Raw genomic sequence first — 16021 nt, 5'->3', positions numbered from 1 at the left:
CTTTGAGAATGAATCAGATTTTCTTAGCCTTTTTTTAGAGGATTAATTTTAGATTATATGTTCAACATTTTGAATGCTGTGTTGTAAGATTCTGGTTTCTGTTATCTTGATCCAAAGTATGTTGAATATTTTCCTTTGTAAGCAGGCATTTAACATGGTTAGACTCAAGCTGCAGCCTCTGTTATGCCTGCAATAGATGGTGACTCAGATCTAATTTCAGGCCGCCTTGAGTCTGGCCTGTACATATATGGCTCCTTGGTTAGCCAGATACTTATATAGTATTTCTATAAAATTTTGGGTTCTCCTTCTGTGGCCCTCTTCTTTCCAGGGTTCCTCTTTCTCTCTCTGGTAGCCTATGTTGCCTTGGGCCCTGGTTTCTTCTGACAGAAGGATGGCAGATTTTTCTACTGGAGTTTCAGCCTCCACATGCTGTGGCCACAGTAGGTGGTGGCTCTTCTCACAGATTATACTAATTTTGGTCTGTCCCATGCACATGTGCTTCAGGGGTCTAAAACTTGGGCAGACTTTTTATATAGAATTTGATGTTCTCCTTCTCTTGGTCTCTCTTTTCCATGGTTTTCCCTCACTATCCGGGGGCTCTGGTTTCTGAGTTCCTTCTGTTGGTTCTACAGGCCATTTAGATGTTTTATTTTTTTAATGGGAGCTTAGCTGCCCAGCACCACGATCACCATGGTCCTCAGGGAAAAGCTGCAAAACCCTGAAATTTGCCCCACGCCAGTCACTTCCACAGTTGAGACTTCCCTCCCAAACATGGCCGGTTTTGGTCACTTGCCAGAGCCCTCAGGTAATTGTTTTTCATATGTTGTCCAACGTTGTTATTTGTGGAAGGATTAATTTGTTAGAAGCTTATCCTTCCATATGAAACCTGCAATGATTTTTTCTTCAAGTGCTTTTTATCTCAGTAACTTCTAAGTAGGAGGAATGAATTGAATGACTTCTTAGTTCATTTTTAACTAGTATGATTCCTTGAGTCTAAAATTACATTTACTGAAGAGAGCCAGATGTCCTGTTTTGGCTGCCATTCTTGAGTACACAGGTATTTAGAGAAGCATCCTTGGTGTTTGCTAACCTGGGAAGGTATATCATTCATGGTTCTCCAGAGAAAGGAAACCATTAGATATATATAGATATGTAGAAAGAGATTTATTATGAGGGATTGGCTTACACAGCATTGGAAGTTGAGAGTCCCATGATCTACTGTTGGTCAGTTGGAGGCCCAAGAAAGTGAGTAGTGTAGCTCCAGTCCAGTGGGCCTGGAGGATTGAGAATTGGGAGTTTATGTCTGAGGGCAAGAAAGAGGGAAGTCCCAGCTACAGAAGAGAGTTTAATTCACCCTTCCTCTGCCTTTTGTTTTTATTTCGGCCCTAAATGGCCCACTCACATAAGGAAGAGCCATCTTCTTTACTCAGCTTACCAATTAAAATGCTAATCTCTTCCAGAAACACCCTCAGAGATACACCCAGAAATAATGTTTACCCACTTTCCGGATATCCCTTACTCTAGTTAAGTTGACACATACAATTAACCGTCGCTCTCATCTTTTCCTACTTTTCTCCTTCTTGTGGTATTTCTATTTTTTATTCCTTTTAAACAAGACAGTGGAGTGAGAAGGTTGCTGGGGAATACCAGCTGAATTTCAGTAACCTCATGTACACTGCTTTGCCAGAAGGAGTCCTGTTCCATGGGTATACTCTGTGGTTCCTGCAGGGAATCTTCTCAGCTCTGCAATAGGAGTCTGACGGAAAGGAAAACAAATTGACACTTCACAGCGCCCCAGAAGGAGGCCAATAGGATGACTCTTCTCTGCATGACTTTCTCTACTTTTTTCATCTGTCTTTCCATCTCTTTTCCCTTTTTTGTTTATTATGCTTCTACTCATTCTGATTATTAATTTTATTAAATTCATATTCAAAATATCAAAATATCTTACTCTTAGCAAATAAAACATGATTTTATGTTTTAAATTGTTTAATCTGTAATCTAGGTATAGTATAATTCAAGGTAGATGTCAAGGTAGATGTCAAGGTAGATGTTACGTTCCTTATAGTACCTTGCCTTTTCCCAATTTGTATGGTAGTTGAAAGTAGCATGACAAAACAGGAATAAATAAAGCAAAAAGCCTATGAAATTTCCCAACTACTTAACAATCAAAATAATCAGGCGAAATGATAAGGAAAATAATCTTTTTATCTGTTAATTCCTGTTGATCATTGTATTCGTTCTCACACTGCTATTAAGATACTACCTGAGGCTGGGTAATTTATAAAGAAAGAAGGTTTATTTGACTGACAGTTCCACATTGCTTGGGAGGCCTCAGGAAACTTATAGTCATGGTGGAAGGTGAGGGAAAAGCAAGTACCTTCTTCACAAAGCAGCAGGAGAGAGAGAGAATGCAGGGGAAACTGCCACCTTTAAAACTATCAGATCTCATGAGAACTCCCTCACTATGAGAACAGCATGGGGGAAACTGCCCCCATGATCCAATCACCTCCCACCAGGTCCCTCCCTTGACACGTGGGGATTACAATTCTAGGTAAGATTTGGGTGGAGACACAGCCAAACCATATCAATTATTTATAGGTTCTTTGTTTTTGGTCTTCATTTTGCTCTTTTTTTTGGTAACATGGATGTTGCAAAGGGCTTTATGCAAGATGGGAAAGCTTGGGTAACAGAATTTCAAATGTTTTACTCTAAGATTATTAGTTGGCCTCTAAAATTTAGTCTGAAAGGGTGAACATTGAAGGAAATAGACTAAAGAATGTGTACTTTTTCATGCTCAGATGGTGTATTAAGATTCTCCAGAGAAATTTGTGTGTGTGTATGTGTGTGTGTATGTATGTATAAATAAATTTATTACAAGTAATAGGCTTCTGTGTATATGGAGGCTGGCAAGTCCAGTATCTGCAGAGGCAGTATCCTAGTTTGACTCTGAAGGCTGGAAGCTGCTTATAGAACCAGGAAGAAGTGATGTTGCAGTTGGCAGGAGAATTCTCTCTTGCTTTTCGGAGGTCAGTCTTTCATTCTTTTCAGGCTTTCACCTGATTGGATGGGGCCCACCTGCACATGGAAGACAATCTGCTGTACTCAGTCCAATGACTTAAATGTTAATCTCATTAAAAAACACCCTCACAGAAATGCCCAGAATAATGTTTGACCAAATATCTGGGTACCTCATAGCCCAGTCAAGTTGGCACATTAACCCTCATAGGTGATGGGCATGTTTCTTTGTAGAAGAGATTATACCCTAATTCAGGAACACTCTGTGGACTTATTCAGAATCACCAAAAATGTTGTGGAGGTGTATAGGGGAGAAGATGTGAAAAATTAGCTTTTAGCACTGTTGATTGCTTCCTCCTCCTAAAAACTTCCTCCTCCTTGTTTCCCTGATTCTCTTTCTACCTCTCTGAATACTCCCTAGGTTTCTGTACAGGATCTTTTAATATCCAGATTTAGACTGTGTACTATAGTGCATGGCAGATAGAGGAGTAGAGAAAAAATTGACTTTCCTGAAAAGCTTCCACAGTGGAACTTTATTATTTGGTTTGGAGATTTTGGAATTCAAAAAGTGCAAGGAAGGCCATATTCCAAAGACAATTGGAATGGGTTTTGGATGATCTCTTGGTATATTCCCGTTGACTTCTATTTTAGACAAATGTGGCTTTTTCTTTTGTGGAGATTTCTGAAATAATCTGGAGTTTTTATTTACGTTTTTTTTGTTGTTGTTGTTCATTTCTTAACCAAGAAAAGTCTATTCTTCTGGATGGAAGGTTGTTGAGATTTCAACCCTCAAGAGTCACTATAATATTGGTAAAAATAATCTCTCATAGGTCTCAGCTTCCTTGTCTGTAGAGGGGAGTGAATGGAGTAGATTAACATGGAAGTTGCTTTCACTTTTGAGTCGATGATTAGGAGGACATTAGGGAACTTTGATAAGGCTATTTTAGTAGAGGATTTGAAGCCGAAGCATATATTTTCTGAGGGAAGAAGGAGGAGGCAATGGAAGTGAACTACATATTTAGGCAGCTTGACTAGAAAAAGGAAAGAAATATGATAAAGGAGGAAGCATGATCAAGATACATTCTTCAAAATATCAGAAGATCTTTGCTTTTTTGAAGGCATAAAGCAAGGGACCAAAGAAAAGGGAAAACTTGAAATGTCGAGTTGTAGGATGATTGAGCAAACAAGATCTTGGTAGAGGTTGGGAGATGGGTTAAAGCAAGGATGGGGCTTACCCTGCTTTCTGTGGTGTTGGAGAGAAGGGGAAAGGATAGGTGAAAAAGTGGATACTCTGAGATGGTTGGGGGAGAATTCCTTCAATTTAGTCTAATAAAGATAAAAAATGAGGTGTTTGCCAAAGGTTGGAAGGGTGTGATAGGAGTTCAGTTTAAGAATAATGAATCTGGGGGAGGAGCCAAGATGGCCGAATAGGAACAGCTCCGGTCTACAGCTCCCAGCGTGAGCGACGCAGAAGACGGGTGATTTCTGCATTTCCATCTGAGGTACCGGGTTCATCTCACTAGGGAGTGCCAGACAGTGGGCGCAGGCCAGTGAGTGCGCGCACCGTGCGCGAGCCGAAGCAGGGCGAGGCATTGCCTCACCTGGGAAGCGCAAGGGGTCAGGGAGTTCTCTTTCCGAGTCAAAGAAAGGGGTGACGGACGCACCTGGAAAATCGGGTCACTCCCACCCGAATATTGCGCTTTTCAGACCGGCTTAAAAAACGGCGCACCACGAGACTATATCCCACACCTGGCTCGGAGGGTCCTACGCCCACGGAGTCTCGCTGATTGCTAGCACAGCAGTCTGAGATCAAACTGCAAGGCGGCAGCGAGGCTGGGGGAGGGGCGCCCACCATTGCCCAGGCTTGCTTAGGTAAACAAAGCAGCCGGGAAGCTCCAACTGGGTGGAGCCCACCACAGCTCAAGGAGGCCTGCCTGCCTCTGTAGGCTCCACCTCTGGGGGCAGGGCACAGACAAACAAAAAGACAGCAGTAACCTCTGCACACTTAAATGTCCCTGTCTGACAGCTTTGAAGAGAGCAGTGGTTCTCCCAGCACGCAGCTGGAGATCTGAGAACGGGCAGACTGCCTCCTCAAGTGGGTCCCTGACCCCTGAACCCCGAGCAGCCTAACTGGGAGGCACCCCCCAGCAGGGGCACAGTGACACCTCACACTGCAGGGTATTCCAACAGACCTGCAGCTGAGGGTCCTGTCTGTTAGAAGGAAAACTAACAAACAGAAAGGACATCCACACCGAAAACCCATCTGTACATCACCATCATCAAAGACCAAAAGTAGATAAAACCACAAAGATGGGGAAAAAACAGAACAGAAAAACTGGAAACTCTAAAATGCAGAGCGCCTCTCCTCCTCCAAAGGAGCGCAGTTCCTCAGCAGCAACGGAACAAAGCTGGATGGAGAATGATTTTGACGAGCTGAGAGAAGAAGGCTTCAGACGATCAAATTACTCTGAGCTACGGGAGGACATTCAAACCAAAGGCAAAGAAGTGGAAAACTTTGAAAAAAATTTAGAAGAATGTATAACTAGAATAACCAATACAGAGAAGTGCTTAAAGGAGCTGATGGAGCTGAAAACCAAGGCTCGAGAACTACGTGAAGAATGCAGAAGCCTCAGGAGCCGATGCGATCAACTGGAAGAAAGGGTATCAGCGATGGAAGATGAAATGAATGAAAAGAAGCGAGAAGGGAAGTTTAGAGAAAAAAGAATAAAAAGAAACGAGCAAAGCCTCCAAGAAATATGGGACTATGTGAAAAGACCAAATCTACGTCTGATTGGTGTACCTGAAAGTGATGCGGAGAATGGAACCAAGTTGGAAAACACTCTGCAGGATATTATCCAGGAGAACTTCCCCAATCTAGCAAGGCAGGCCAACGTTCAGATTCAGGAAATACAGAGAACGCCACAAAGATACTCCTCGAGAAGAACAACTCCAAGACACATAATTGTCAGATTCACCAAAGTTGAAATGAAGGAAAAAGTGTTAAGGGCAGCCAGAGAGAAAGGTCGGGTTACCCTCAAAGGGAAGCCCATCAGACTAACAGCGGATCTCTCGGCAGAAACCCTACAAGCCAGAAGAGAGTGGGGGCCGATATTCAACATTCTTAAAGAAAAGAATTTTCAACCCAGAATTTCATATCCAGCCAAACTAAGCTTCATAAGTGAAGGAGAAATAAAATACTTTACAGACAAGCAAATGCTGAGAGATTTTGTCACCACCAGGCCTGCCCTAAAAGAGCTCCTGAAGGAAGTGCTAAACATGGAAAGGAACAACCGGTACCAGCCGCTGCAAAATCATGCCAAAATGTAAAGACCATCGAGACTAGGAAGAAACTGCATCAACTAACGAGCAAAATCACCAGCTAACATCATAATGACAGGATTAAATTCACACATAACACTATTAACTTTAAATGTAAATGGACTAAATGCTCCAATTAAAAGACACAGACTGGCGAGTTGGATAAAGAGTCAAGACCCATCAGTGTGCTGTATTCAGGAAACCCATCTCACGTGCAGAGACACACATAGGCTCAAAATAAAAGGGTGGAGGAAGATCTACCAAGCAAATGGAAAACAAAAAAAGGCAGGGGTTGCAATCCTAGTCTCTGATAAAACAGACTTTAAACCAACAAAGATCAAAAGAGACAAAGAAGGCCATTACATAATGGTAAAGGGATCAATTCAACAAGAGGAGCTAACTATCCTAAACATATATGCACCCAATACAGGAGCACCCTGATTCATAAAGCAAGTCCTGAGTGACCTACAAAGAGACTTAGACTCCCAAACATTAATAATGGGAGACTTTAACACCCCACTGTCAACATTGGACAGATCAACGAGACAGGAAGTCAACAAGGATACCCAGGAATTGAACTCAGCTCTGCACCAAGCGCACCTAATAGACATCTACAGAACTCTCCACCCCAAATCAACAGAATATACATTTTTTTCAGCACCACACCACACCTATTCCAAAATTGACCACATAGTTGGAAGTAAAACTCTCCTCAGCAAATGTGACAGAACAGAAATTATAACAAACTATCTCTCAGACCACAGTGCAATCAAACTAGAACTCAGGATTAAGAATCTCACTCAAAGCCGCTCAACTACATGGAAACTGAACAACCTGCTCCTGAATGACTACTGGGTACATAACGAAATGAAGGCAGAAATAAAGATGTTCTTTGAAACCAACGAGAACAAAGACACAACATACCAGAATCTCTGGGACACATTCAAAGCAGTGTGTAGAGGGAAATTTATAGCACTAAATGCCCACAAGAGAAAGCAGGAAAGATCCAAAATTGACACCCTAACATCACAATTAAAAGAACTAGAAAAGCAAGAGTAAACACATTCAAAAGCTAGCAGAAGGCAAGAAATAACTAAAATCAGAGCAGAACTGAAGGAAATAGTGACACACAAAACCCTTCAAAAAATCAATGAATCCAGGAGCTGGTTTTTTGAAAGGATCAACAAAATTGATAGACCGCTAGCAAGACTAATAAAGAAAAAAAGAGAGAAGAATCAAATAGACACAATAAAAAATGATAAAGGGGTATCACCACCGATCCCACAGAAATACAAACTACCATCAGAGAATACTACAAACACCTCTACACAAATAAACTAGAAAATCTAGAAGAAATGGATACATTCCTCGACACATACACTCTCCCAAGACTAAACCAGGAAGAAGTTGAATCTCTGAATAGACCAATAACAGGAGCTGAAATTGTGGCAATAATCAATAGTTTACCAACCAAAAAGAGTCCAGGACCAGATGGATTCACAGCCGAATTCTACCAGAGGTACAAGGAGGAACTGGTACCATTCCTTCTGAACCTATTCCAATCAATAAAAAAAGAGGGAATCCTCCCTAACTCATTTTATGAGGCCAACATCATTCTGATACCAAAGCCGGGCAGAGACACAACCAAAAAAGAGAATATTAGACCAATATCCTTGATGAATATCGATGCAAAAATCCTCAATAAAATACTGGCAAACTGAATCCAGCAGCACATCAAAAAGCTTATCCACCATGATCAAGTGGGCTTCATCCCTGGGATGCAAGGCTGGTTCAATATACGCAAATCAATAAATGTAATCCAGCATATAAAGAGAGCCAAAGACAAAAACCACATGATTATCTCAATAGATGCAGAAAAAGCCTTTGACAAAATTCAACAACCCTTCATGCTAAAAACTCTCAATAAATTAAGTATTGATGGGACATATTTCAAAATAATAAGAGCTATCTATAACAAACCCACAGCCAATATCATACTGAATGGGCAAAAACTGGAAGCATTCCCTTTGAAAACAGGGATGCCCTCTCTTACCGCTCCTATTCAACATAGTGTTGGAAGTTCTGGCCAGGGCAATCAGGCAGGAGAAGGAAATAAAAGGTATTCAATTAGGAAAAGAGGAAGTCAAATTGTCCCTGTTTGCAGACGACATGATTGTTTATCTGGAAAACCCCATCGTCTCAGCCCAAAATCTCCTTAAGCTGATAAGCAACTTCAGCAAAGTCTCAGGATACAAAATCAATGTACAAAAATCACAAGCATTCTTATACACCAACAACAGACAAACAGAGAGCCAAATCATGAGTGAACTCCCATTCACAATTGCTTCAAAGAGAATAAAATACCTAGGAATCCAACTTACAAGGGATGTGAAGGACCTCTTTGAGGAGAACTACAAACCACTGCTCAATGAAATAAAAGAGGATACAAACAAATGGAAGAACATTCCATGCTCATGGGTAGGAAGAATCAATATCGTGAAAATGGCCATACTGCCCAAGGTAATTTACAGATTCAATGCCATCCCCATCAAGCTACCAATGACTTTCTTCACAGAATTGGAAAAAACTACTTTAAAGTTCATATGGAACCAAAAAAGAGCCCGCATCACCAAGTCAATCCTAAGCCAAAAGAACAAAGCTGGAGGCATCACACTACCTGACTTCAAACTATACTACAAGGCTACAGTAACCAAAACAGCATGGTACTGGTACCAAAACAGAGATATAGATCAATGGAACAGAACAGAGCCCTCAGAAATAATGCCGCATACCTACAACTATCTGATCTTTGACAAACCTGAGAAAAACAAGCAATGGGGAAAGGATTCCCTATTTAATAAATGGTGCTGGGAAAACTGGCTAGCCATATGTAGAAAGCTGAAACTGGATCCCTTCCTTACACCTTATAGAAAAATCAATTCAAGATGGATTAAAGATTTAAATGTTAGACCTAAAACCATAAAAACCCTAGAAGAAAACCTAGGCATTACCATTCAGGACATAGGCGTGGGCAAGGACTTCATGTCCAAAACACCAAAAGCAATGGCAACAAAAGCCAAAATTGACAAATGGGACCTAATTAAACTAAAGAGCTTCTGCACAGCAAAAGAAAGTACCATCAGAGTGAACAGGCAACCTACAACATGGGAGAAAATTTTCACAACCTACTCATCTGACAAAGGGCTAATATCCAGAATCTACAAAGAACTCAAACAAATTTACAAGAAAAAAACAAACAACCCCATCAAAAAGTGGGTGAAGGACATGAACAGACACTTCTCAAAAGAAGACATTTATGCAGCCAAAAAACACATGAAAAAATGCTCATCATCACTGGCCATCAGAGAAATGCAAATCAAAACCACTATGAGATATCATCTCACACCAGTTAGAATGGCAATCATTAAAAAGTTAGGAAACAACAGGTGCTGGAGAGGATGTGGAGAAATAGGAACACTTTTACACTGTTGGTGGGACTGTAAACTAGTTCAACCATTGTGGAAGTCAGTGTGGCGATTCCTCAGGGATCTAGAACTAGAAATACCATTTGACCCAGCCATCCCATTACTGGGTATATACCCAAAGGACTATAAATCATGCTGCTATAAAGACACATGCACACTTATGTTTATTGCGGCATTATTCACAATAGCAAAGACTTGGAACCAACCCAAATGTCCAACAACGATAGACTGGATTAAGAAAATGTGGCACATATACACCATGGAATACTATGCAGCCATAAAAAATGATGAGTTCATGTCCTTTGTAGGGACATGGATGAAACTGGAAACCATCATTCTCAGTAAACTATCACAAGAACAAAAAACCAAACACTGCATATTCTCACTCATAGATGGGAATTGAACAATGAGATCACATGGACACAGGAAGGGGAATATCACACTCTGGGGACTGTTGTGGGGTGGGGGGAGGGGGGAGGGATAGCATTGGGAGATATACCTAATGCTAGATGACGAGTTAGTGGGTGCAGCGCACCAGCATGGCACATGTATACATATGTAACTAACCTGCACAATGTGCACATGTACCCTAAAACTTAAAGTATAATAAAAAAAAAAAAAAAAGAAAACCTGGGGCCAGAAAAAAACAAAAACTAAAGCAAAAAACAAATATCTTTTGAGTTACCACTGCGTGCCAGGTTCTGTTCTGGGCTCAGGAAGTACACTAGAAGCCAAGCAAAAAGAAGTTCCCTGCCCATGTGGAATTTACATTCTATTGGCAAAAGACAGAAAATAAATATAAGTAAGTAAATTATATAAAATATTAGAGGACGGCAAGTACTATGAAAAAAATTAAAACAGAAAGAAATATGGAGAGGAAAGGGATTATTATAATTTAACATAACATGACAAGGGTAGGCTTAAATGACTAAGTGCCAATTGAAGGATATAGGCGAATTGAAGGATGCAGCCATGCAGACATCTAGGGGAAGGACATTTCAGACAGAGAGACAGCCAGTACAAAGGTCCTGAGGTGGAAGCATGCTTGGCATGATTGAAGAACAGCAAAAACACTGCTGGAGAAACAGTCAGAATAGGCAAGGAATATTATAGAAAATATGGTTGCTGGGCAATGAAAGAGCAGACAGCACAGAACCTTGTGAGGATTTTGGCTTTTACTTTGGGTGAAACAAAGGGCCATTGAAGAGATTACAACCGAGTGATATGATCTAAAGCTAGATTTGAACAGAGGCACTCTGGCTAATATATTAGGATTCAACTTCAAGGGGACAGGAAGATGAGTTAAGAGTGACCTGTTTGCCCAGAATAATTTTGGGCAATGTGTTTCAATGCAATTGTTAATGCCCTTCTCCCTTTGAGTCTTCAAAATTATCATCCTGATTAAGAGGACACACTACTGGAATAATTCAGATGAGAAATGATGATGGTATGACACAGATTAATAATGATGAAAGAGAAGTGGTTTGATTCAAAATATATTTGGATGGGAGAACCTACAGGATTTCTTGGTGGATCTGATGCATGCCATACGAAAAAAAAAAAAGAATAGTCAAGGATGACTAAGATATTTGGGTCCTAGCAACTGGAAGGACAGAGTTGCCATTAAATACGATAGAATAGACTTTGCAGAAGTCCCAGAGTCTCATTTGAGGCGTGCAAACTCTGAGCAATCTCTTAGATTTCCCAGAAGGGTGTCAATTAGGCAGTTGGAAATATGACTGGAGTTCCAAAGGGAGATCTGGCCTGGAGGTATAAGTTTGTGAATCAAGAGTGCACAGATGGAATTAAAAGCTATAAGATTAGAAAGAATCATCAAATAATATGAGTGTGGAAAGAGGAGAGGTCCAAGGACAGAGTCCTAAAGAGCCTAGATGGTAGAAAAAGAGTAGAATCCAGCAAAGGAGATTGAGAAGAGCAGCCAGAGAGGTAGGAGGACAACCAGGCATTTCTTCATATTTACAATAAATGGGTTGCACTACACCACCAAAAAAAAAAAAAAAAAAAAAAGAATAATGAATCTTTGGAAGAGCTTTTAAAGCCAATCTGTCAGGAACTTAGTGAGGGATGAATAGTGGGAGTATCTATTTGAATTTAGATGGTTAATTGAGAAGCCAACCATTTTTGTTCATCTTGTTTTACATTGTTGATTTTTGTTTTCCAACAACTCTGGGTGTCGGTTGCTGGTACTCTAGTCATCTTGCTTTGTTCTCAACTTTTTTGGACCCAAGACCTTATTTCTGAAGAATGCTCTATGAATTATTTTTTAAAAAGCATTCTGTCATTTTGGGTCTATAAAAGATAACGTGAATAAGATATGGATTTTAAATGGATATTGTATTATTAAGTAGTGTTATGAAGTTTATTTTAATATATGATTTAATATAGCATTATGAATGAAGAGACATTTTGACTTTTCATTTAACAAGTGACATACAGTGCAATGAGAAAAATTGAATATTTTCAAAATTTTTTGCTCAGTCACTTACAAGGATATGTCAAGAACCTTATGTTTGCTGCCTTTTTCCTGTAGTCCTGAAGAGTGAAGGAACCCATTGTTGTTGCTGTTTCAACCATTGATGGAACATCTGAAGGGTTTGGGATGAAATTAACTCTAGAATTTTATATGTCATATTACTCAATGGAGTACATAGTGAGAAGTTTTAAGAGAAGACATAATTATAGCAGTTTCTTTCCACATTGGTTTTATCTGTGTAATTATATATAACCTAGTCATTGAGCAATATGTTTTCGAAAGTATTCATTTCTTTTCAAGTACTCTTATACATGGTTCACTTTTTAAAAATGTTATTTATTTTGACCATTTCTTTCTTAGCTAATATATTTATATGGCTCAAATTTCAAAAAAAGTAAGATATTTATTAGTAAGTTTTTCTCATATCCTGGCCCCATTCACTCGATTTGTTTCCCCACAGGGCATTAGTATTGTCAGATTTTTTTTTTAAAGTATAATTCTAGAGTTATATTACCCATATACAGTCTAATATATTTACATATTCCCCAGTGCACCCCCATTTCCTACACAAGTAGTAGCACAGTTATACCCATTTCCTTATTATTAAAAAATTTTTTCATAACATTTCATTGTATGGATGTAACATAACTTGCACCCTGTATTGATGAATACTTAGATGGTTTCCACTGTTTTACTATTATAAACAATGCCAAAATGAATAACTTTGTACATACTGTTTTACAATGTAAAGGTTGCTTAATTTAACCGCATAAAATAGATACCATTTGTCAACTTTTAAAATCACATGCTTTTGGGAATGAGCGTAGATTAAAGGGCAAATTGAAATTTAAGGTTATATTGAGGCATCAAAAATAAATAAAAACCTTAGTCTGTCACCCAGCAGTTGAAAGTCTTGTATTTTCTCCTTATTTATAAAAAATAGTTTTGGGGCTTTCTTTTAAAATACAGTAAAATATGACATATTTGAAATTGCTATTTGCAAACTTTTTTTTTTTTTGCAAATAATACTTTGTGGGTGCAGATAATACTTATTCACCATAAATGAAAGAAGTCAGTTTGATGTTATGTTTGCTGCGTTTTCATTTTTTCTTTTTTTTCCCCCCCAATGGATTTTGAAGTATTGGAGACATTTTTAAGTCTTAAGAAATTTGATCAGATAATGCAATATACAGAGCTGGTAAAAGTCATCTTGAGTTGAAGTTTCAGGATTTAACATTTATGTTCCTTATTGACTTCAACAATTCTAATATTTCTTGTATTTAACCAGTAGTCCTTTATAGATATAAAACAATTGATTTAAAACCAAGTGTAAATCAGTGTAAAACCTTAGGATTGACAAAGTTACCAGGCTGTCACCTCTGATCACCTGAATAATAAACCAAACAATTAGGTCATAAGCCAACTCATCTGACACTTACTGTTGTACACATTCCCTGGATATGTAGGCAGAGGTTCTCAGAAGCTCTGTTTTAAAAGAAAATATATTATTATTTTATATATTGACTTAAAAATCAAAATAGAAGCGCCATTACCAGCTTACTAAACTTGAAGTGTTTGTATACAGTAGTTAAACACTGATGTTGGCAGAAATTAAGGAGGAAAAGGGATATTGGATATTATAATCAGTGTCTCTTACATGTGTCTTTGGAAAAGTAATGGTTACTTATTAGAAACCTGGAAGTTCTTAGCATTTGCCATGAACAGTACATTATATTAAATATTTTTGTGTAGTACTGTAGGAAATCTGCAATAAATTACAATTTTATTATTGTTTGAAAGTCCTCATAACAGTAACGTCCTAAGACAGCTATCTAGGGTCAGTAGAAGAGAGGAATGAAGGTAACTTTTGCATATGTTCTCTAAACTGTTAATTTTACCCAGACTGAGCAATTGCCTGGTATAGTTGTCAGAATACAGGCTTCTAGGCACCACCCTAGATGTGCTGTCTGAGAGTCAGGTAAGATTCATGATTAACTAATAGAGAAGTCATTTGGAAATTGGTGAGGACATCAGGGAGCCGGGGGAGGGGGGTGGTGTGGCTGGGGGGGGGCAGCAGAGGTGTTGTGAAAATAGTTTGAAGAAAGTGAGCAAATCACAGGCTTTGCTGCCAAATGGCTTCTGTAAAGATTCCACCACAAATCTAGTGCTAGGTCACTGGTTTCTGTGGTCCTTGAAATGCTGACCTAGACCTGACCCAGTGCTGCAGAATTCCAGATTAGAGAGACACTTTAATCTTTCTAAGAAGCTGAGCTTGCTTCAAGCTTTGTTAACTTAGTTTATGATTATCTAAAATAGTCTTAGTCCTGTTTACCGTAGATAACTCTACTTATTTAGTCCTGAAATAGTGATGCCAAATGTCAGTTTGGATTCAGGCTTCTACTACTGTTTAGCCCTGAAATAGTGAGGCCAAATGTCAGTTTGGATTCAGGATCCTATTACTGTTTAGTCCTGAAATAGTGAGGCCAAATGTCAGTTTGGATTCAGGCTCCTACTACCAGTTGCCATAGGGTCACCCCTTGCACATCCCATAGACACCTCAAATCCAAGAATCCTGAAATAAAACTCATCATCTTACTCTAGGCCTGATCCTTTCTTTTTTGTTCTTTTAAAAAATATTTATTGTCTACAGTGTATTAGGCACTGAGTGTCCCAAGATGAATAAAACAAGACATGTTCTCGGCCAGGCGCGGTGGCTCACGCCTGTAATCCCAGCACTTTGGGAGGCCGAGGCAGGCGGATCACAAGGTCAGGAGATCGAGATCACCCTGGCTTACACGGTGAAACCCCGTCTCTACTAAAAATACAAAAAATTAGCCAGGCATTGTGGCAAGCACCTGTGGTCCCAGCTGCTCAGGAGGCTGAGGCAGGAGAATGTCGTGAACCCGGGAGGCAGAGGTTGCAGTGAGCCGAGATCGCACCACTGCACTCCAGCCTAGGTGACAGAGCGAGACTCAAAAAAAACAAAAACAAAAACAAAAAAAAAACAAGACATGTTCTTTGTCTTTAAAGTGCAATGGGAATCCACGGAAGGGTTTTATGGTTTATAAAGCTCATTGTTGTGTGTAGAATGGTTTGGAGTGAGTCAAGGATAGTAGCAAGGAAACTGGATTAAGAGGCTGTTGTAGAAATCAAGGTATAAGATGATGGTGGCATGGAAGTAGCGTGGTAGCAGTGGTGATGGAAGTGGTGGATAAATGAAACAAATTTTGAAATTAGAATCAGTGACACTTGGTGATGGACTTAATGTATGGAATGTGTGGGAGTAGCTACCAGAGGTGATTCTGAGGCTTCTGTCTCAAGCACCAGCATAATCTGGTGCCATGTACTGAGATATGAAACTGCTAACACTGCTAACACTAACAGGTTTGACAAGGGGCAAGAGAGTTCAATTTTGGGAATTACTAAGTTTGAAGTATCTTTAGATAAGCCAAGTATCCCTGTCCATTTTATCAACCGAGTCATTTCCCTTCACCTAAACCATAACCTGCTTGCTGTCCATGCGTGGTGGCTCACGCCTGTAATCCCAGCACTTTGGGAGGCTGAGGCAGGTGGATTACCTGAGATCAGGAGTTTGAGAGCAGCTTGGCTAATATGGTGAAACTCTGTCTCTACTAAAAATACAAAAAATTAGCCAGGTGCAGTGGCTCACGCCTGTCATCCCAGCGCTTTGGGAGGCCGAGGCGGG

At 39.7% G+C, this 16021-nt stretch overlaps 1 protein-coding gene across 11 annotated transcripts in view, besides 1 other annotated feature; it reads left to right on the top strand.

Moving 5' to 3' along the window:
• The window catches only part of IGSF11 (immunoglobulin superfamily member 11), a 245464-nt gene that overhangs the window by 134108 nt on the left and 95335 nt on the right, over positions 1-16021 (top strand). The window lies entirely within an intron of this gene.
• Positions 4680-5280: an enhancer, noted in NCBI's record as "OCT4-NANOG-H3K27ac-H3K4me1 hESC enhancer chr3:118725480-118726080 (GRCh37/hg19 assembly coordinates)". NCBI's record gives its function as "activates a minimal SCP1, AML or CMV promoter by ChIP-STARR-seq in primed H9 embryonic stem cells {active_cell/tissue: H9 hESC(primed)}" and the evidence as "EXISTENCE:reporter gene assay evidence [ECO:0000049][PMID:30033119]".

Source organism: Homo sapiens, chromosome 3 (assembly GCF_000001405.40).
Source record: "Homo sapiens chromosome 3, GRCh38.p14 Primary Assembly".
Lineage (NCBI taxonomy): Eukaryota > Metazoa > Chordata > Mammalia > Primates > Hominidae > Homo > Homo sapiens.
Note: the sequence above shows the minus strand (reverse complement) of the source record. Positions and strands in the feature narration are given on the sequence as shown.